Source organism: Homo sapiens, chromosome 3 (genome assembly GCF_000001405.40).
Source record: "Homo sapiens chromosome 3, GRCh38.p14 Primary Assembly".
In the NCBI taxonomy this organism is placed as follows: domain Eukaryota; kingdom Metazoa; phylum Chordata; class Mammalia; order Primates; family Hominidae; genus Homo; species Homo sapiens.
This window is the reverse complement of record NC_000003.12, coordinates 185,634,451-185,656,996: the sequence shown is the minus strand read 5'-3', so window position 1 is coordinate 185,656,996 and position 22,546 is coordinate 185,634,451. Positions and strand designations below refer to the sequence as shown.

General features: G+C 48.3%; 1 protein-coding gene across 36 annotated transcripts in view, besides 3 other annotated features; it reads left to right on the top strand.

Annotated features, from left to right (window-relative positions):
* Positions 1 to 13,867, top strand: part of IGF2BP2 (insulin like growth factor 2 mRNA binding protein 2) — a 181,913-nt gene extending 168,046 nt beyond the window's left edge. For 21 of the 36 annotated variants that reach the window (XM_047447325.1, XM_024453316.2, XM_047447317.1 and 18 more), the window contains 4 exons: positions 4,829 to 4,903; positions 7,463 to 7,594; positions 9,859 to 9,972; positions 11,374 to 13,867. In XM_047447325.1, the coding sequence (XP_047303281.1) occupies positions 4,829 to 4,903; positions 7,463 to 7,594; positions 9,859 to 9,972; positions 11,374 to 11,466 (414 nt within the window). In that variant the 3' untranslated portion in view covers positions 11,467 to 13,867. Of the gene's footprint in view, positions 1 to 85; positions 750 to 4,358; positions 4,904 to 7,462; positions 7,595 to 9,858; positions 9,973 to 11,373 lie in introns of those variants that run through there. The other 15 variants (XM_047447321.1, XM_047447316.1, XM_047447319.1 and 12 more) reach the window with 6 other exon arrangements.
* Positions 4,679 to 4,877: a silencer, noted in NCBI's record as "fragment chr3:185369908-185370106 (GRCh37/hg19 assembly coordinates)". NCBI's record gives its function as "represses an EF-1alpha promoter that drives an FKBP-Casp9 reporter gene in an ReSE screen in phorbol 12-myristate 13-acetate-treated (for megakaryocytic differentiation) K562 erythroleukemia cells {active_cell/tissue: K562(+PMA)}" and the evidence as "EXISTENCE:reporter gene assay evidence [ECO:0000049][PMID:32094911]".
* Positions 10,345 to 11,232: an enhancer, noted in NCBI's record as "NANOG-H3K27ac-H3K4me1 hESC enhancer chr3:185363553-185364440 (GRCh37/hg19 assembly coordinates)". NCBI's record gives its function as "activates a minimal SCP1, AML or CMV promoter by ChIP-STARR-seq in primed H9 embryonic stem cells {active_cell/tissue: H9 hESC(primed)}" and the evidence as "EXISTENCE:reporter gene assay evidence [ECO:0000049][PMID:30033119]".
* Positions 14,682 to 14,900: a silencer, noted in NCBI's record as "fragment chr3:185359885-185360103 (GRCh37/hg19 assembly coordinates)". NCBI's record gives its function as "represses an EF-1alpha promoter that drives an FKBP-Casp9 reporter gene in an ReSE screen in K562 erythroleukemia cells {active_cell/tissue: K562}" and the evidence as "EXISTENCE:reporter gene assay evidence [ECO:0000049][PMID:32094911]".

Sequence of the window (22,546 nt, the reverse complement as noted above, 5' to 3'; positions counted from 1 at the left end):
TCCCAAGCTAAGGGAAGGGACTGCGGTGAAGTGATAACTTAGCAGGTACCAGTATGCGGTGCTTTAATGAGTCTCCACTTCACAGGCCCTGAACTACCAGAAAATAATGTGGATAAAAAACTCTTTGAAAAGCAATGATAAAATCATAAACAAAAGCTGAGGGTCTAACCCGATATGCAACCCAGCCTGAGCATAGCAACTCAGGAAGGACGGTCCTTGACTTATGGAAAGGCTGCGAATGCAGACGTGGCTGCAGCTCCAGGCCCACATCCTGCCTCCTTGAGCACAGTGTGGAGAATCATCAGAGAAGCTGAAAGGGGAGGATTATTTGCCCCTGGTCCTGCTCCAAGACCAGCTATCAGCTCTGACTCACGGGCAGAATGCTGAGCACGTCCCAAGCCTCATGAAACATTTTCGGAAACAGAGTTTTTGTTGTTACGCAAAATAATTTGCTACCATGGGACAACCCAGAATTCCAAATGAGAAGTCTCATGACTTGGAGAGAAAGAATGCTTACACTTTCTCCCCAGGAAGAGCTGGAATTTCTCCCACAGCAAGTGTGCTAGAGGAAAAACAAAAACAAAATATTCTGAGTAGTACAGAACAAGGGTTGCACTGAGACCATCAGAGAATTTCACTTTGGTGAATCATTTTCCCTCTCAGACCTCATTTATCTTATCTGCAGAGTGGACAGACAGGATGAGAGCCCTGAGGTGTGGGGGCCCTTGTGCCCAGCAGTCCTGCTGCAGGTGAGACCCCGGCCTAGGCACTGATAGGCAGGTGCTGGCCTGACCCCTGAGGGTGGGCTGAGTAAAGTGTGGAAGACCCCCTGGCTGGCTGCAGCCCTTGGGCCTTGCCCAGCTTTCAGTCCTGCAGTCTGAGATGCCGGCAGGAGAAAGGACCGTTTCAACTAAAAGGGGCTTGAGGGACCATCTCATCCAATCCCCGTCTTGTTCAGCAGAGAAAAGTGAGGCTCAGAGAGTGCCGGGACATGGGCAAGGCACACATGTGGCAGGGCTGCCTCTGAGATGGAAATTCTGCTGACTTCTGGGATATCCAGCACCTCCTGGGGCTCACCACTACAGCGCCTCTTCATTTACTATTGCCCATGAGGAGCTGGGGCCTAGGGAGTTTTCACTGGCTTGTCCAAGGCCACAAAGCTGAAGAATGAGAGAGCCAAGATTTGCCCAGGTTATCCTGTTTCTGGTCTAGTGTGTTTTTCCACCATATCAACCTAACTGTGATGCCAGAATCATTCCCAGCAGGGCCTTTAGGAAAAGAAGAGATCAGTCGCATGGGCTGCATCCCACAGTCCCAGGTCCCAGCAAGGTCGAATGGTGACGTGTCACTGTGCTCCTGGCCTCTGTGATGGGCAAAGACAGCAGTGCTGCGTCAGGAGGACAGAATGGACTCTACAGCTTAGGAAGGTCCAGACAATGTTTTTTATGCTGGGCCAACAATCTTTTCCAGCAACCTTCTACTTCCCCAGCCCCTGCCTCGCTCCATAGCATAAACCAGGGAGGCCAAATATTTGTGAAGGAAATTTCCAAATTTTTAAAATCAGTCAGCCGGGCGTGGTGACTTATACCTGTAATCCCAGCACTTTGGGAGGCTGAGGCAGGTGGATCACCTGAGGTCAGGAGTTGGAGACCAGCCTGGGCAATAGGGTGAAACCCCATCTCTACAAAAATATAAAAATTAGCCATGCATGATGGCGGGTGCCTGTAATCCCAGCTACTTGGGAGGCTGAGGCAGGAGAATCACTTGAACCTGGGAGGCGGAGGTTGCAGTGAGCCGAGATCACGCCATTGCACTCCAGCCTTGGTGACAGGGCAAGACTCTGTCTCAAAAAAATAAAAGTAAAAAAATCAATCTGGTTTTTGCTAGATTCCCTTTGTCTCAACAGGTCCCTGAAAACATCTGTCTCTAAAGCAAGATGGATGATCTCACTAACTCCAGAGATTCTCCCACCCCTAGTTTCTACTTTGCCAGTCTTTGGGGGCCACAATGAGGGGCACATTTGATGCTGCTGGGCAGGGAGAGAGCCTCACACTCATCCATGGGAGGAGAGCGCCCAGAGGAGGTGGGCTGAGCTAAGATCTGGGTGATGCACTCCAAGAGATGCTTTGGCTGCAGGTGAGAGCTGAGCTCCCGTCACCTGCCTTTCCTGTAGAACAGGCTTCCAGATGCTGCACAAAATTCATTCAGCCAGTGACACCTAATTCCAGATCCTGACTCCAGCCCTGCTTACCCTGTGATCTTGGCAGTTATCTCTGGGTCCCATCTGCTTCAGTCATAAGATGGGGTCCTCATTCCTGCCCCTTTAGAGGGAGTGTGTGCATGGAATGACATTCCAAAACTGCACAAGTGCACAAGTAGCCCTCCGACTTCTGGACTAGGCTGGCCAGTGCCAGGCAGTAGAGCCCTCGGAGGTTTCTTTCAGAATCTGAGCAAAGCAGCCACAAGTCATTACGAAGTGGACGGTGATGGCAGAACTGATTTGGTCAGCGTGAATCATGAATCAGCCATTCGCCCTTCTCGGTTTGGGTGGTGGTAGGAGCTGGGAACCACACAGCCATGATCTGCTCTCTCTTGCTTACTCAGAGATAAGGACCAGGTTTAATGCCAGGTATGGATCTCAAAGTAGAGTCAAGGGATCCTGCCAGAAGTCTCAATGGCCAGGCTCTGTGTGATCTGCCAGAGGGTGTCAGACCCCTGGACACACTCAGATCCGTGTTTTTCGGCCGAGGCCCTGCCAAGAAATGGCTGCCCACAGCAAAGGAAGTCCCCCAGGAAGCTCAGCTGTTGATCACCTGAGTCTCACATTTATCCGCATCCACCAAGGAGTCACAGCCAGAGAACTCTTTGCAGATCCCATGAAGGGGCCCCTCCTTCCAGAGCGGGACAGGGTCTGAGCATGTCTTGGCTATGTACTCACAATAAAGCAGGGGCAGCCACCCTGGATCCTGAGGCCCATGGATGGAAGCTGGCTTATAGCACACACTGAGAGGAAACAAAATTGAACCTTCTGGAGGTGGAGGTCTTCCCGGAGGATCTCAAGTGACACAGTGGTCCAGAGGTGATCCATGCACAAATGCAACACCGAGGGTAAATCCCATTTCACTAAACAGATCTTTCTCGAGACCTAGACTCAGGATTGGTGCCTCCCTTGAATCCCTACTTTGGTTTTGCCTTAGAACATGATGTCCCTGTCATTGACCATGTTTCTTGTTTCGTATTTGCTCTTAGCTTAGAACTGCATCTGTGGCCAACCTGGGGCAGGTGTGTAGGACCTTATGAGATGTGTGTGTTCTGACCTCGGTCTTGGCTCATCCTTACAATCCTAAATGCCTGATGTGCACTCATTTTACTTTTTTTTTTTTTAAGACGGAGTCTCGCTCTGTCACCCAGGCAGTGGTTTGATCTCGGCTCATTGCAACCTCCACCTTCTGGGTTCAAGTGATTCTCCTGCCTCAGCCTCCCAAGTAGCTGGGACTGCAGGCACGCGCCACCACTCCTGGCTGATTTTTGTGTTTTTAGTAGAGATGGGATTTCACCATGTTGGCCAGGCTGGTCTCGAACTCCTGACCCCAGGTGATCTGTCCATCTCGGTCTCCCAAAGTGCTGGGATTACAGGTGTGAGCCACTGCACGCCTGGCCTCATTTTACTTTTAATGACATTTAATTTTGCTACAATGTGTTAATAAGTTTTAATTTTGTATTTATTTTTAGCTGAAGTTTTTTTTAATAAAGCAGGGCATGCAGAAACAAATATGTAACAAAGATCTCTCTAACAAAAATGCCTGCTCAGCCCAGGGTTTGAGTCGTGTTACAAGAGAACCTGAACTCACAGAAACTGAGAGAAGGAAGCTGGGCGCAGTGGCTCACACCTGTAATCCCAGCACTTTGGAAGGCCAAGGTGGGCGGATCACTTGAGGTCACTTGAGCTCTTCTTTGGAGGACTTTGAGACCAGCCTGGCCAACATGGTGAAACCCCATCTCACTAAAAATGCAAAAATTAGCTGGGTGTGGTGGCAGATACCTGTAGTCCTAGCTACTTGGGAGGCTGTGGCAGGAGACTCGCTTGAACCCAGGAGGTAGAGGTTGTAGTGAGCTGAGATCGCGCCACTGCACTCCAGCCTGGGCAAGAAAGTGAGAGGAGATTTGGAGCTTGGTGGGCCCAGCCCCTATGTTTCACAGATGAGGGAATGGAGGCACAGCGAGGGGAGGAATTTTCAGAGCCAGGACTAGAACCAACGTGCCTCCATTTCTGCTCTGCTGCTGTTTTACTTATGACCCACTTGCCGTGGAGGAAGCGGTCTTGACCACACATACTCTAACTCAATTGTCACTTCCAGCTGACTACCCTTGTGAGCTGAGAATTAGAACCAGAGATACCTTTGCTGCAAGCTCGACTCCAATTTAACACCTTGGTGGACCTGCCCTTCCTTCCCTTTGGGCCCTAGGTGGGTTGGCAGAGCCTACACATCCCTCTTCCTAGAGCTTTTGACTCCCTGGTTATTTCCTAAAACTTGGCTCAATGAGAGGAGGCCCATCACAGCTGGTGCTCAGGACAGGGACAGGCAGTAACTACTGGCCTGTGTCTGACTGTCCCTGGGTGGCCAAAAACCCAAATTTGATACTGGGCATTACAGTCATGACTTCCTAAGACCAGGGTGGAGGCAGCATGGCATCAGACAGAACCAGGGGTAACGGCAGAAGCAAGACCTGGAACCTCCTGCTGGTATGCTTGCCGTCCACTTAGACAAGAAAGAGGGGCTGGGGAATGCAGCCGAGCATCAGCGTTTTCCTCTCCTGTGAACCACAGATTGCCCCTGCGGAAGGCCCAGACGTCAGCGAAAGGATGGTCATCATCACCGGGCCACCGGAAGCCCAGTTCAAGGTTAGTGCCAAGGGACACCTCAGCCCTGCAGGCTCTGGGCACAGAGCAGCCACCTCAGAGGCACATTCAAGGCTCTTCTTTGGAGGCCCAGCCTCCATTTCCCTCCCTGCTGCTGCCCACCAAGCTCAGGCTCACCCTGTCATCCCTGGCTGTTCTTCTGCATGTTTGCCCTCTGCTGGGAAGCCCTCTTTCCCTTCCCTCTCATGGAAAAGTAGATCATCTGTTGGTGCCCAGTTCGAGTGGCCCCTGCTCTGGCACCTCTGATCCCTTAGCCCTGGTTTTGAGGATGGATGTCTCCGGCTCATTTAGTCATGTCTACCCTTCAAGCTATGGAGGACTAACACAGGTGTAAGGGGAAGTAGCATGGTTTGTTGGAAGGTTTTTTGGTGAGGTGTGTTTTGCTTTGTTTTGTTTTTGCCTTTTTTTCTTCCCTAGGAAAATTATAACTCGAGCTTTCTAAAAGTGAGAAACACATATTTATTTATTTATAAAAGTACAATCCTTATCATTAAAAATATTTAAAATTTAGCTGAGAAGAGGAAATTCACACATGTGGAACCACTCAAAAGCAATAGCCTCAGCCAGGGGCAGCAGGTGGTGGTATGCTCCTGTAGCTCTAGCTACTGGGGAGGCAGAGGCAGGAGGATCCCTTGAGCCCAGGAGTTTGAGAACAGGCTGGGCAATAGAGCAAGACCTCATCTCTAACGAAAAGGAAAAGATAACAAAAAACAGTAACCCTTCAACTCAGTATTGGACAACATGTGGAATATCCATTTAACAGAATGTTATTCAGCCACAGAAAGGAATGAAGTACTGATGCATGGTGCAACATGGGTGACCATCACACGAAGTAAAAGAAGTCAAACACCAAAAGCCTCATATAGGCCAGGTGTGGAGGCTCATTCCTGTAATCCCAACACTTTAGGAGGCCAAGGCAGGAAGGCTGCTTGAGCCCAGGAGTTTGAGACCAGCCTGGGCAACACAGTGAGACCCCCATCTCTACAAAAAAAATTTTAAAGTAGCTGGGTGTGGTAGCATGTACCTGTAGTCCCAGCTACTTGGGAGGCTGAGGCAGGAGGATCACTTGAACCCAGAAGTTCAAGGCTGCAGTGAGCTGTGATCATGCCACTGCACTCTAGCCTGGGTGACAGAGCAAGACTGTCTCAAAATAAATAAAGGCCACGTGTGAAGTGATTTCGTTCATATGAAATGTCCAGAATAGGCCAGTCCCTAGAGACAGAAAGTAGATTGGCAGTTGCCAGAGAATAGGAGGAGTTGGAACTAACTCCCAATAGTTATGAGGTTTTTATCTGGGGGAATAGTGTGGAAATGTTCTGAATAGATAATGGTGATGATTGCACAACATACTGACCACTGAAATTGATATATTTTTTTTTTTTTCAGTTTTTATTTTTTTGAGACGGAGTCTCCCTCTGTCACCCATGCTGGAGTGCAGTGGTGCGATCTCGGCTCACTGCAACCTCCATCTCTCGGGTTCAAGTGATTGTCGTGCTTCAACCTCCTGAGTAGCTGGAATTACAGGGGCATGCCCCCACACCTGGCTAATTTTTGTATTTTTAGTAGAGATGGGTTTTCACCATGATGACCAGGCTGATCTTGAACTCCTGGCCTCAAACAATCTGTCCACCTCGACCTTCCAAAGTGCTGGGATTAGAGGTGTGAGCCACCACGCCTGGACTGAAGTGTATACTTTAAAACGGTGACTCTCAGATTATGTAAGTTATATCTCAGTATTTTAAGTAAAGAAAAAAAAAGAACATTGTAAGCTGTGGTTCTTTTTCACTAAAAAAAAAAAAGAAAGATAGGTTCTTGGCTCCTCTGCCTTTGGAGTTAGACATCAAAAAGAAAGATTATGTTGAATGTAGTGGCTTACACCAGTAATCCCAGCATTTTGGGAGGCCAAGGTGGGAGGATCACTTGAGGCCGTGAGTTCAAGACCAACCTGGGCAACATAGACCTCATCTCTAAAAAAAAAAAAAAAAAAGAATGAAAACATGAGCTATGATCGTGCCACTGCACTCCAACCTGGGCACAGAGCAAGACCCTGTTCTCCATTAGAAATTTTTTTAATTAAAACAATATCAGGCTCCTCAAATCCCATTACCACCACCATCACCTCCATCCTTACTAACCAGGGGTATGACCCTGTGGTGATGGGATAAGAATCCCCTGAACAAATTCAGTCAATCAAGCAAATCTTTATAGGTGATAATATGGAAATAAGACATAGAGTTGCATCCCCTCACCCATCCCCTTAGCCCTGACACACAGAAAGCTCCCTAGAGGAGGCAGTCTTGTGCAAACCACCAAAACATGAATGCCCATCCACATTTTTCAAAGTGCAGCCATCTGACGTGGCGGGAGCAGCGCCCCCCAGGTCTGTGAGCGGAGGCTGGGGCACGCAGCTTCCTGTGTGTCCCAGGGAGTGTGGGAATGGGACTGACCCATTGTCTGGACTCTCCAGTGCCCTTCGCAGCACTGATGAAGTGGCCGGCTGCTGGCTGACTGAGAGTCATTAGTCATGTCTTGCTCTCTCAGGCCCAGGGACGGATCTTTGGGAAACTGAAAGAGGAAAACTTCTTTAACCCCAAAGAAGAAGTGAAGCTGGAAGCGCATATCAGAGTGCCCTCTTCCACAGCTGGCCGGGTGATTGGCAAAGGTGGCAAGACCGTAAGTGTGCTCCGGGCTCGCTTCATCACCTGGGTCAGATTCCCCGCTCTGGCCTTGCCTGAGTTCCCTCAGTCTCCCCTTGGCGCCTTCTGTCCCAATGTACAGTCAGGGTCTTTGGCAGATAAACTAAGGCTCTCCTGGCATCTGAGCCCTTTGAGGCATGAGGATCCCAAGGACAAAAATGTCATCGGCTTCACTCCACAACTTAGGGCCCCCAATCCGTGGTGCTGTAAGCCCAGCACCAAAAATACCACAGTCCTGTGCCCAGTAATACCCATCTTGACTCCATGGTCAGTGAAGGCCTCCACTCCCTGAAAACAGAGAGGCTGTCTTCTGCCCCCTTTATACCCACATGTAGCAGCCATTAAAATTGGAAAGGGGGGATTCCCACCGAGAGAGATGCTAACCCACTTGGCAGACCACCACCTTCCCTGGATTTCACTCAGGCCTGTGCCCTGCACTCTCTTCTGACTCTCAGCCCTCCTGACAGATGCCTCCAGTCCCTAACTCCCCCTCCACAGGCTCTATCTTCTGGCTGTTTCCCAAACATGGCTCTAGGGGAGCTAGTTTAGCAGTAGGAGGGTGGGCAAGGAGGAGATTGTTTTTTGAAAGATCATCTGCATTTTCTACTGGAAGGTGCAGGAACAAACACAGTGTAGTTTGAAAAGTGCCAGAGCGTTAACTTTGAAGCTTGTTGGAATGAGCCAGGTGGTCTGTAGACCCAGGTATGTTCTGGAATGTGACTTACTGACCTGGGTGGGGAGATGACCACTGAGAAGTTCCAGTAGAGCCTAGTGCAGGCTTGCTGGCAAAGTAGCAGTGTTGGGTGGCAGGAACTTGGCGGGGAGGCGGGGGTCTCTTGAGTCCTGAGTGTGTATGTGTATATATGTATATGTGTGTTATTTGCTGTTTTTGTAAAGCTTTTTTTTTTTTTTTTTTGAGACAGAGTTTCGCTCTTGTCACCCAGGCTGGAGTGCAGTGGTGCCATCTGTGCTCACTGCAACCTCCACCTCCCTGGTTCAGGTGATTCTCCTTCCTCGGCCTCCTGAGTAGCTGGGACTGCAGGCGCCCGCCACCATGCCCAGCTAATTTTTTATATTTTTAGTATAGACGGGGTTTCACCATTTTGGTCAGGTCAGGCTGGTCTCGAACTCCCGACCTCAGGTGATCCGCCCGCCTCGGCCTCCCAAAGTGCTGGGATTACAGGCGTGAGCCACCACACCCAGCTGTTGTAAAGCTCTTTACATAGAAACTCTTAAACGGAATTCAAAACCAAGTTCTAGATGTAATGAGTCAGCTTTATACGAAAGAACGAAGCGGTGTGGAATCAAAGGATTCCCCGTCTCCAGAATGCAGTCGGCGCTCCAGGGCACACACTGCGCTTTAGGCGGAGCTGGAATGTAGGAGGCAAAAGAAAGCAGATGGATCAGCAGGGAGTAGAATCCTGAGCCCCTGGGTGTCCTGTTTAGCTATTTCAGAACCAGTCACTGAATTCTCTGCATCCTCCAGACTTTCAGGTTTCCCCTAAAGCACATGCTGAACCCGCCTGTGAGCTCGGCATCAGGCCAGAGGGCCAGAGGACGGGGTCTGAGCCCTCAGGAAGCGTGCAGTCCTGTTGGGAAGCAGGCCCAGTGAGGCAGCGGGGAGGATGAACAATGCAGGCAGTGGTTGGAGACACGAGGAGCTCAGCATGGGCTGGAGGCTTCATGGAGGTGGGCCTGGGGTGGGATCCAGTGGCCGGGAGAGAGGACAACAATCCAAGGGTAGGAACAGCATGAGCAAGTCTTGGCGGCAGGAGTGAAAACGAGGAGGAGGGAACAGCAGGGCTGATTCGCAGGGAAAGTTAACCAAGAGGAGGTTTGGGCTCGTGGTCAGCACCCAGGACAGCATGTCCAGGAGGAATGATCTTACAGGGTAGGGGTGGGGAGTGGGGGGGTATGGGAAAGCCTGGGGTCTCTGTGAGCATGTGCAGGCCTGCGTTGATGGGAACTCCAGAATAAGAGAACTTCGCCTCAGAAGCAGCCCCAGGAATCTGTGGCTGGACTCCCTCTCCCTGTCATTGAGCCTGTCAGGGCCCAACCAACATGGCCCCATGTGCTCAGGGGCAGAGGAGCCCCCGGGGTGTCCTTGATAAAAGGAAAGGAGAGCAGAGTCCAGCCCCCCTCCTTCCCCTGCTCCACCTCTTGGCCCCTCACTCCGTCCTGAGCCCACCACGTTGACGGGGAGGGAACCTATCCAACCCGTTGCCGTTTCTCCCTTCACAGGTGAACGAACTGCAGAACTTAACCAGTGCAGAAGTCATCGTGCCTCGTGACCAAACGCCAGATGAAAATGAGGAAGTGATCGTCAGAATTATCGGGCACTTCTTTGCTAGCCAGGTACTGTGCTGTGAGGGCCCTGTCTCTCCTGCAAGTCTCTTTTCAATTCTCTGCTAAGCTGCTGGTGGCCTGTCAGGTGGCCACAGGCCCTGAGCATCAATCCACGCCAAGATGGAACCTCTCCCTGGTTCTTCCTGGCTCTTTAGGGATGGCCCCCGGGGCAGGGGACATTGTTTCACACTTCTCTCCACTGTCATCCCCGAGGTATGTATGCTAGGAGCTTGGGGAAGAGTGAAGAGTTAAGCGCTTAAGCAAAGCCATGTGGTTCCAAGCCCCCTGCAGTGTTTAAGGGCATGGCCTCAGCTTCCCTCACCCTCTCTCCTCAGGCCTCAGTCCCAGCCTCCCCACTGGGAGCCAGGCAAGCCCACCCTCTGGATTCCTCCCTGAAAGCCTGAGCACTCCCTGTGAAAGACTACATGCTCACGGCATTTCTCTCTCCTCCTCCTCTTCGGTCTCACCACAACCCACCCTATCAAAATACTGCACCTCCACACAGCCGCTTCTCTTTCATTGGGAAAGGCCAGCACCTGGCCTCTTTCTCTTTGATGCTTTTGTAAATTGAGTTTTGGGGAGAGCGTTCCTGGTCTTTGTCCTAAACCAGTGAAGACAAACAGTGTACTTGGTGTAAGCAGACACTGAAGGTTTGTCTAAGCTGTCAGCCTGCTCTCCCAACACCTGTGCCTGTGCTGAGACCTGATGGTCCAGGAAAGGGCAGCTGCCACACTGTGGATCCCCCGCCACCCACACACGCACCCCCCGCCCAGTGCCCTTTGAAATTCTCACTTGAGTCTTCTGCAGTCAGAGTCCCTGGCCACGCCCCTGTCTGCTGTCTCCCAGCTCAGCTCCTCAGGGCCCTGGGAATGTGTCTGAACAGCCTGTTCCTACAGGAGTTCAGTCTGCAGGGAGCTGCCTGCAGGGACAGTGCTAGGCTGGGTGAGGGGACAGGTGGGGGTTCATGTGTGTGCTCCAGCTGTTCAGGGTAGAGCATCTGGGCTCAGTTCCTCCCTCCCTCCCCTGTCCCTCACACTCATGCCCTCCTAGCCGCTGTAGAACGGGGGCGGGAGCAGCACGGGAGCCCAAGTGTAGCATCTGACTCTGCACGGCCCCCAGTTGCTGGCGCCCTGCTTCTGCTTCCTGGCCTGTCCGTCCAGCAGTGAACTGGAAGCTGCCGGAGTCCCATCCCCTTACCCTGGACCTTGGGGTGGGAGTGGAGGGGGGACCTCTGCCACTTACTTCCAGGCAGAAAAGGGCCTGGAGTAACGTGCGGGGGTGGGTAGATGATGCTTGTCTGAGCATTCCACCCTTCATCCCCAAGCCCCAGAGCCTCCCCTGCCGTTTGTCCTCAGAACTGGGTTCCTTTTTTCCCCTGTCCCTTCCTCTCCCTTCTCTCCCTTGCTGCAGACTGCACAGCGCAAGATCAGGGAAATTGTACAACAGGTGAAGCAGCAGGAGCAGAAATACCCTCAGGGAGTCGCCTCACAGCGCAGCAAGTGAGGCTCCCACAGGCACCAGCAAAACAACGGATGAATGTAGCCCTTCCAACACCTGACAGAATGAGACCAAACGCAGCCAGCCAGATCGGGAGCAAACCAAAGACCATCTGAGGAATGAGAAGTCTGCGGAGGCGGCCAGGGACTCTGCCGAGGCCCTGAGAACCCCAGGGGCCGAGGAGGGGCGGGGAAGGTCAGCCAGGTTTGCCAGAACCACCGAGCCCCGCCTCCCGCCCCCCAGGGCTTCTGCAGGCTTCAGCCATCCACTTCACCATCCACTCGGATCTCTCCTGAACTCCCACGACGCTATCCCTTTTAGTTGAACTAACATAGGTGAACGTGTTCAAAGCCAAGCAAAATGCACACCCTTTTTCTGTGGCAAATCGTCTCTGTACATGTGTGTACATATTAGAAAGGGAAGATGTTAAGATATGTGGCCTGTGGGTTACACAGGGTGCCTGCAGCGGTAATATATTTTAGAAATAATATATCAAATAACTCAACTAACTCCAATTTTTAATCAATTATTAATTTTTTTTTCTTTTTAAAGAGAAAGCAGGCTTTTCTAGACTTTAAAGAATAAAGTCTTTGGGAGGTCTCACGGTGTAGAGAGGAGCTTTGAGGCCACCCGCACAAAATTCACCCAGAGGGAAATCTCGTCGGAAGGACACTCACGGCAGTTCTGGATCACCTGTGTATGTCAACAGAAGGGATACCGTCTCCTTGAAGAGGAAACTCTGTCACTCCTCATGCCTGTCTAGCTCATACACCCATTTCTCTTTGCTTCACAGGTTTTAAACTGGTTTTTTGCATACTGCTATATAATTCTCTGTCTCTCTCTGTTTATCTCTCCCCTCCCTCCCCTCCCCTTCTTCTCCATCTCCATTCTTTTGAATTTCCTCATCCCTCCATCTCAATCCCGTATCTACGCACCCCCCCCCCCCCAGGCAAAGCAGTGCTCTGAGTATCACATCACACAAAAGGAACAAAAGCGAAACACACAAACCAGCCTCAACTTACACTTGGTTACTCAAAAGAACAAGAGTCAATGGTACTTGTCCTAGCGTTTTGGAAGAGGAAAACAGGAACCCACCAAACCAACCAATCAACCAAACAAAGAAAAAATTCCACAATGAAAGAATGTATTTTGTCTTTTTGCATTTTGGTGTATAAGCCATCAATATTCAGCAAAATGATTCCTTTCTTTAAAAAAAAAAAATGTGGAGGAAAGTAGAAATTTACCAAGGTTGTTGGCCCAGGGCGTTAAATTCACAGATTTTTTTAACGAGAAAAACACACAGAAGAAGCTACCTCAGGTGTTTTTACCTCAGCACCTTGCTCTTGTGTTTCCCTTAGAGATTTTGTAAAGCTGATAGTTGGAGCATTTTTTTATTTTTTTAATAAAAATGAGTTGGAAAAAAAATAAGATATCAACTGCCAGCCTGGAGAAGGTGACAGTCCAAGTGTGCAACAGCTGTTCTGAATTGTCTTCCGCTAGCCAAGAACCTATATGGCCTTCTTTTGGACAAACCTTGAAAATGTTTATTTAAAAAAAAAAAAGATGACAAAGAAAAACAGAGAGAGAGAATATTGGAGATGTCCTGAATTTTAATAGGGTACGCGCCATTAGGGCTTTTTGCGCTAAAGGATGAACATGTACTGGTTTATGTGGACAAGCCATTATACCACCAGACTGCAATGCCAGTTTCCTCTACTGCAAACAGTGTTCTGTGACAAAAAAAAAAAAAAAAAAAAGAAAAAAAAAGAAAAAACAGAAATATATCCAGCTAACAAGATCCTGGTGTCTTGGTGTTTTATTTTACTAGGCATTGCCTCATCCCAGGTGTCAGCTGAGTCCTAGCTCTGAGGGACCTGGGCAGACAGGCGGTAGGTGTGACCTGGATCCACACAGCTACTCTGAGAAAGCTGGTTTTGCCCAGGAAAGTCTTTGGGAGAAGCTAAACTAGATCGGTGGTCAAAGTGTAGTCCCCAGACCAGCAGCATCAGCTATCATCTGGGAACTTGTTAGAAATGTAGATTCTTGGGGTCCACCTTGAATCAGAAATCCTGGGGGTGAGGCCCAGCAACCTTTTCAGCAAGGCCTCTGGGTGATTGCTGTGCGCACTGAAGTTTCCGAACCTCGGAGCTAGAGGGATGGATCGACTGCATGTCAAGCTAGAGAAGACCAGTCTATCCTTAAGGAACTGCAAGCCTGGCCAGGCAAAGCTGCTTTTTAAGTGGAGGAAAGGGGGAGGATAATATGCCCGGCAGTTCCGGGAAGAGGCACTTCACGCCTCCACGGGAAGCTCACTAGTAAGTGCAGGCATACCTCAGGAACGTCGCAGGTTCAGTTCCAGACCACCACAGTAAAGCGAACTTTGCAATAAAATGAGTCATACACGTTTTAGTGTCTCACTGCATGTGAGTTATGTTTACACTGTATTAAGTGTACAATAGCATTATGTCTAAAACAGTGGGTTTTTTTTGTTTTTTTTTTTTTGACACAGAGTCTCGCTCTGTCGCCCAGGCTGGAGTGCAGTGGCACGATCTCAGCTCACTGCAACCTCTGCCTCGTGTATTCAAGCAATTCTCCTGCCTCAGTCTCCCGAGTAGTTGGGACTACAGGCATGTGCCACCCCACATGGCCATTTTTTGTATTTTTACTAGAGACGGGGCTTCACTGTGTTAGCCAGGACGGTCTCAATCTCCTGACCCCGTGATCTGCTTGCCTCAGCCTCCCAAAGGGCTGGGATTACAGGCGTGAGCCACTGTGCCCGGCCCAACAGTGTACATATCTTAATTAAAAATAATTTATTGCTAAAGAATGCTAACGATCATCCGAGCCTTAGGCAAGTTGTACTCTTGGCTAGTGAAGAGTTTTGCCTCAATGTTGATGGCTGCTGACTGATGAGGGTGGTGGTTGCTGAAGGTATGGGTGGCTGTGACACTTCCTTCAAATAAGACAATAATGAAGTTTGGGGCATCAATTGACTTCCTTTCACAAGATATTTCTCTGTAGCATGCGATGCTGTTTGATGTAGCACTTTATCCACAGAACTTCTCCCAAAATTGGAGTCAGTTCTCTCAAACCCTGCTGCTGCTTCATCAGCTAAGTTTCTGTAATAATCTAAATCCTTTGTTGTCCTTTCAACAATGTTCACAGCATCTTCACCAGGAGTAGATTCCATCTCAAGAAACCACTTTCTTTGCTCATCCTTAAGAAGCGGCTCCGCCCATCTGTTCAAGTTTGATCATGAGATTGTACAATTCGGTCACAGCTTCAGCCTCCACTTCTAGTTCTCTTGCTGTTTCCAGCACATGTGCAGTTCCTTCCTCCACTGAAGCCTTGAACCCTCAGTACCATCCGTGAGGGTTGGAATCAACTTCTTCCAAGCTCCTGTTAACGTTGATATTTTCACTTCCTTCCATGAATCACAAATGTTCTTCATGACACCGAGAATGGTGAATCCTTTCCAGCTTTAAAATTTACTTTGCCCAGATCCATCAGAAGAATCATTATCTGTGGTAGCTATAGCCTTATGAAATTTAATTTTTTTTTTTTTTAATTTTTGAGATGGACTCTTGCTCTGTCACCCAGGCTGGAGTGTAGTGGCCTGATCTCTACTCACTGCAGCCTCCACTCCCAGGTTCAAGCAATTCTCCGGCCTCAACCTCCCAAGTAGCTGGGATTACAGGTGCCTGTCACCACGCCCAGCTACTTTTTTTGTATTTTTAGTAGAGACAGGGTTTCACCATGTTGGCCAGGCTGGTTTTGAACTCCTGACCTCAAGTGATCCTCCTGCCTCGGTCTCCCAAAGTGCTAGGATTACAGGCATGAGCCACCATGCCCGGCCAATTTTTTTAAAAATGTATATCTTAAAAAGATTTGAGGCTGGGTGCTGTGGCTCACGCCTGTAATCTCAGTACTTTGGCAGGCAGATTACCTTAGGTCAGGAGTTCGAGACCAGCCCGGGCAACATGGTGAAACCCTGTCTCCACTAAAAATACAAAAATTAGCCAGGCGTGGTGGTGCGTGCCTGTAATCCCAGCTGCTTGGGAGGCTGAGGCAGGAGAATTGCTTGGACCTGGGAGGTGGAGGTTGCAGTGAGCCGAAATTGTGCCAGTGCACTCCAGTCTGGGCAAGAAAGTGAGATTCTGTCTCAAAAAAAAAAAAAAAGATTTGAAGGTTGAAATTATTCCTTGATACATGGGCTACAGGATGGATGTTGTTAGCAGACATGAAAACATTCATCTCCTTGTACAGTTCTTGGGTGACCAGGTGCGTTGTCAGCAGTAATAATTTGAATCTCAATAGGGGGCTTAAAATATTCAGTAAACTATGCTGTAAACAGATGTGCTGCCACCAAGGCTTTGTTGTTCTATTTCTAGGGCACAAGCAGAGTAGATTTAGCCTCATTCTTAGGGGTCCTAGGATTTTTAGAATGGTAAATGAGCATTGCCTTCAGCAAAGTTACCAGTTGTATTAGCCCCTAAGAGTCAGCCTTCCTTTGAAGCTCTGAAGCCAAACATTGACTTTTCCGCGTTAGCTATAAAAGTCCTAGATGACATCTTCTTATAGAAGGCTGTTCGATCAACATTGAACATCTGTTGTTTGGTGTAGCCACCTTCATCCAGGATCTTACATCTTTCAGATAACTTGCTGCAGTTTCTCCAACAGCTCCTGCTGCTTCACCTTGCACTTCTGTATTACAGGCACAGCTTCTGTCCTTAAACCTCATGAACCAACCATTGCTAGCTTCCAATTTTTCTTCTGCAGCTTCCTCACCTCTCTCAGCCTTTATAAAATTGAAGAGAGTTAGGGCCTTGCTCTGGACTAGGCTTTGGCTTAAAGGAATCTTGTGATTGGTTTTATTTTTTATCCAGATCACTCAAACTTTCTCCCTATCAGCAGTAAGGGTGTTTGACTTTGTCACTGTTCCTTTGTTCCCTGGAGTAGCACTTTTAATTTCCATCAAGAACTTTTCCTTTGTATTCACTTGGCTGTTTGGCACAGAAGGCCCAGCTTTCAGCCTGTCGTAACTGTCAACATGCTTTCCTCACTAAGCTTAATCATTTTTCTTGCTTTCGACTTAAAACAAAAGATGTGTAACCCTTCCTTTCACTTGAACACTTAGAGGCCATTACAAGGTTATTAAGTGGCCTGTTTCAATATTGTTTCTTAGAGAATAGGAAGGCCAGAGGAAAGGGAAAGAGATAGGGAATGGCAGGTCAATGAAGCAGTCGGAACACACACAACCTTTATAGATTGTTTGCCACGTGGGCATGGTTTGTGGTGCCGAATTACAAAAGTGATATCAGAGATCACTGATCACAGATCACCATAATAGATAATATCATAATGAAAAAGTTTGAAATAAATATTGCAAGAATTACCAAAATGTGACAGAGATACAAAGTGAGCACACTGTTGGAAACATGCCAGTAGACTTGCTTGACCCAAGGTTGTCACAAATGTGCGATTTGTAAAAAACGAGTATCTTCAAGTGCAATAAAACAAAGTTCAGTAAACAGGGTATGCCTGTGTTCTGAGAATTCAGGAGGGCAGGATCAGCCTTGGACTGAGGAGTGGGTGCTGGACCTGGCCCTCCCACCAACGTGCTGTGCAAAGGTTGGACAAGAAAAGCCATGCTCCATTTCTAAGCTTGTGTTCATAGACTTGGGGAGCCTATGAGAGATGGCTGCCAAGCGTCCAAGCGATCTTAGGAATAAAGAGTTAACACTGACTGCCAGAGGTAGCCAGTTAGGTTTTTGGGATAACAGTTCATAGCACGGCGGGGGCAGTTGATGGTGAACTGTTGGGATTCCAGAGCAGCCACATTCCCCCTGTACCATGTAAAATGTGTTCCTCACTGATGTCCTCACTCATTTTCTCATTTCCAATTTCAGTGATGCTGACTTGACTTTTGAAGTTTTACGGCATGGAGCTGTCCAGCTGTCCCCCCTACTGTTATTCTCACTGCTGTGGTTGGCATGAATATGGACAGGGACAGGCTGGCCCTTCGTGTGGCCAGTAGAAGCCCCTGCACCTGTGGCTTCACCTTTGCCCTCCCCCATTTAGGACTCAAGCCCACTGCCCTCACAAAGGTAGAAACAAGCCATAGGTGCCAGCCAGCCCAAGAGAAGCTGGGGGATTCTTGGCAACCACCGTCATTACTGAAAGCTGTTCCCTAATTGAGGTATCCATGGCAAATGAGCAAGAACACATTTTTTTTGAGATAGTGTCTCGCTCTGTTGTCCAGGCTGGAGTGCAGTGGTGCGATCTTGGCTCACTGCAGCCTCCGTTTCCCCGGTTCAAGTGATTCTCCTGCCTCAGCTTCCCGAGTAGCTGGGATTACAGGCGCATGCCATCATGCCTGGCTAATTTTTGTATTTTTAGTAGAAACAGGGTTTCACCATGTTGGCCAGGCTGGTCTCCAACTCCTGATCTCAGGTGATCCACCTGACTCAGTCTCCTAAAGTGCTGGGATTACAGGCGTGAGCCACCGCCCCTGGTAGGACAGCACTTTTTTTTTTTTTTTTTTTTTTTTTGAGTGGAGTTGCGCTCTTTTTGCCCTGGCTGGAGTGCAATGGTGCGATCTGGGTTCACTGCAACCCCTGCCTCCCGGGTTGAAGTGATTCTTCTGCTTCAGACTCCGGAGTAGCTGGGATTACAGGCATGTGCCACCACGCCCGGCTAATTTTGTATTTTTAGTAGAGACAGGGTTCCACCATGTTGGCCAAACTGGTCTCAAACACCTGACCTCAGGTGATCCTCCCGCCTCGACCTCCCAAAGTAGTGGGATTACAGGTGTGAGCCACTGTGCCCGGCCTAGAACAGCAGATCTTTGAAGGAAGGGCTTTAAGTACAGGCCCAAGAACTTGGTGATGACACTCAGGATGAGGAGACATCTGGGAGGGGGAGAAGTGACACAGGAACCTCCAAAAGTGGACCCCTTTGACTCCACCTATCAGATTTCATTGCTTGGCCTGTATTACAGGTGGCAGAATTCCAGGTTTAGCTTCTAAAGTGCCCATTTCCAAACTATTTGTCTATGAATATGTGCAAGAAAGACAAGAGAAAAGGGTGCTGACATGATGTCTGACTTGCCCTGGTACAAAGCACCCATAAAGTGTCTGGGCTGCAAAAATGAAGAGGAGACCACGTGAAGAGGGAGAAGACAGGAACAAGACCAGCTAGCTTTGTTCCTAAGCAAGGACTTTTCTCCCAGCAGCCCATTTCCAGGAAACCCAAGTACTGGATTATTTTGCAACTGGGCTCAACTCTCTTGAGTTTTCTGAGGGCAGCACCAGCATGAGACCATCCTTTACGGGATGGCGTCCTGTTCCACCTTACAGTGAGGAAGAACAGTTTCATGCGTGTGAACTGGGCTCTGATGAACTGTTCACATGTGGGCTCAGACCACTACAATCGTCGTATTAATTTCTTCAACTATAAATCCCAGTCTTGACAAGACAGTCTGACATCCCAGAAAGTCCTAACTGCACATGATTTTACACTAAAATAGTAGTTGTTAAATGGAGATTTAGCTTAACCACAAAGGTTTTATTCATTAGCCAACATCACTCCAAAAGCCCCTTCCTACCGCCTTAGATGGAACCCCTTGCAGATCTGTGATGCGTGGCGGTCTGTTAATCTAAGCCTGAACATCCCTTTTGTCCTGTTTGTCCCCCCACCCTCTAGCTCTGACCCGTGCCATTCTTGGTTCCTCGAACATGGAGAAGGTGTGGAAAGGAAGGTCTGATACAGGCTGGCTGCAGATCAGAAGAGGATTCCAGCGTAGAGGGAGAATTTAGAACAGGAGAAAAGGAGAACTGATAGAAGTTTAGAGGAGTTTCAACAAAGAACCAAAGGAAAGGATTAGCCGTAGACAGGAAGACAGCATCTTGACAGTGACGGGAGGCAAGGGTGAGAGAGAACACTGGGCTGCTAGGGACAGGCAGAGAAGATCAATAACCTTGCACCAATTGGGATCCAAATGGCTGAGTAGACAGAGAAGGGAGAAAGACTTGAAGAATATGAAAAGTATCTGGCCTAGTCTTACCCCTGCATCCCTGGGGAAGGATGTGGGCCACAGAGGTATCTCCATGTTTCTGTTATGAAAGGAGCCCACAACTCCAGATGGCTAGAAACTAGCCCAAGTCATATGTGCATCCAAACTTCTGTGTCTTGGGGCCTGCTGGAGACTTTTTGACCTACTACCACGACGACTAACAACACTGCTAGCAAATTCCCCGGATGGTCACTGTCAATTCCTGCTGCTGCCCTTTATTTCCTCCGCTTAAGGCACTGAGGAACAGAAATTGAAGATGCATCCCATACAGGTTAATTTTCTGTTTTTTTTTTTGTTGTTGTTGTTGTTTTGTTTTGTTTTGTTTTTCTCTTGAGACGGAATCTCGCTGTCACTGGGGATGGAGTGCAGTGGTGTGATCGCTGCTCACTGCAACGTCTGCCTCTCAAGTTCAATGATTCTTCTGCCTCAGCCTCCCGAGTAGCTGGGATTACAGGTGCCCGCCACCACACCCGGTTAATTTTTGTATTATTAGTAGAGACGGAGTTTCACCATGTTGGCCAGGCTGGTCTCGAATTCCTGACCTCAAGTGATCTGCCTGCCTTGACCTCCCAAAGTGCTGGGATTACAGGCGTGAGCCACCGTGCCCGGCCCATTCTTCTAATCTAACTCATATCAGCCACATAAAGTCATTGTCTCTAGAAACCCTAATTGAGTGTTCTTAACAGCTCTTGCTCTCTCAGAAACAGCTGGCACGAGGGAAAAACCTCATAGACAAAATTATATTCTTTTTATTTTCCCTTTGGACAAAGGGTCTTCCTCTGTTGCCCAGGCTGGAGTGCAGTGGCACAGTCGTGGCTCACTGCAGCCTCAACCTCCTGGGCTCAAGCAGTCCTCCAACCTCTGCCTCCTGAGTAGCTGGGACTACAGGCATGCACCACCACACCTGGCTAATTTTTCAAATAATTATTTTTATTTCAATAGTTTTTTGGGGGGCCTGGTGGCTCACACCTGTAATCCCAGCACTTTGGGAGGCCGAGGTGGGTGGATCACTTGAGGTCAGGAGTTTGTGGCCACCCTGGCCAACATGGTGAAACCCCGTCTCTACTAAAAATACAAAAATTAGCCAGATGTGGTGGTGTGCGCCTGTAATCCCAGCTACTTGGGGGGCAGAGGTGGGAGGATTGCCTGAGCCCAGGAAGTCAAGGCTGCAGTGACCTGAAGTCACGCCGCCACGCTCCAGCACAGGCAAGAGTGAGCCCGTCTCCAAAAAAAAAAGGGGGAAAGGTTGTAGGTGAATAAGACATTACCTACACAGGGCAAGAAACAGGGTGAAGCCAGCAAAACTACTGTGAATGCATTTGTGTAGTTTTTGCTCTTGGACTGGTGTTTATTTTACAGAACTACAAAACAAAAGCAAAAAGCAAGTCCCTAAACACTAAGAAAAAATGAATCCAACTGTGTATCAAGTTGACAGCATAATCAGAGAAAAAATTATTTTAATTTTAAAACTATTTTCATTGCGGGTCTCTAGTGGGATATATTCTAAGAATAAAAATAATTGCAGGCCAGGCGCGGTGGCTCACACCTGTAATCCCAGCACTTTGGGAGGCCAAGGTGGGCAGATCACGAGGTCAGGAGTTCAAGACCAGCCTGGCCAACATGGTGAAACCCCCATCTCTACTAAAAATACAAAAATTAGCCGAGTGTGGTGGCAGGCACCTGTAGTCCCAGCTACTCAGGAGGCTGAGGCAAGAGACTCGCTTGAATCCCGGAGGCAGAGGCTGCAGTGAGCCAAGATTGCACCATTGCACTCCAGCCTGGGTGAGACAGAGCCAGACTGTGTCTCAAAAATAAAATAAAAATAAAGGGATGATTCATGTCCCACCCAGGACAGAGCAGAACAGTGAGAGATTTTATCATGTTACTCAGAATGGTGTACAATTTAAAACTTCAAAGTGTTTATTTCTGTTATTTTCATTTAATGTTTTCAAACCACAGTTGATCAAGAGTAACTGAAACAAGGAAAGCAAAACCACAGGTAGGGGGGTTTCTGTACTGTTCCATTTTGCCTAAGTCTTGAAATCCCCACAAGAAAAGTTTTTTTTGTAAAGTAGTTGAAAGAAAGAATTGTTGACTAAAATGATATTAAATCCCCTCAAATGAACTGAAGGCCTACACATGAAAAATGTTATAAAACTTAAATCAGTGGAGACGCAATCATCCCATGCTGGAAGAAATGTCAAAATACCAATGGGTAATTATCTTTTTCCTGATTTTTAAAAATATACATAATTTTTAACCCAGAAATTGTAATGCTAAGAGTTTCTTAGAATAAACCAAACATTGTGCAAGATGTTATATTCAGTAATACTGGATTAAATAAATGTTATAGCCATATAGTGGAATACTGTGCCATTAAAATGATATATTTATTGATGTGAAAATGTTCCAGTGGAAAAGGAGTTATATAACCGTTTATATAATTCTGTATTTGTTGTTAATAACAAGTTATATACACACACAAGCCTGTACATGTATTCACACACCCATGAAGGGGGAAGGCCAGGATATATACCCACTTTTTTTTTTTTTTTTGAGACAGAGTCTCAGGCTGGAATGCAGTGGTGTGCTCTCGGCTCACTGCAACCTCCGCCTCCCGGGCTGAAGCGATTCTCCTGCCTCAACCTCGCCAGTAGCTGGGATTACAGGTGCCCACCACCACACCCAGCTAATTTTTGTATTTCTAGTAGAGATGGGGTGTCATCATGTTGGTCAGGCTGGTCTTGAACTCCTGACCTCGTCACTGGCCCAACTCCGCCTCCCAAAGTGCTGGGATTACATGTGTGAGCCACCGCGCCCGCCCCAAATGTTAATGTTAAGAGGTATTAACTCTGGTTGTGAATTTGCAGAATTAACTTTCTTTACCTTATCGGTATTTTCTATGAACCCCTATTACTGATATAATTAAATAAAAATAAAAGGAGACAGGGTGGTAGTGTGGGATCAGACTTTATGATCACCATGAGGAGGGGGGTGTTGCTGGGAGGCCGT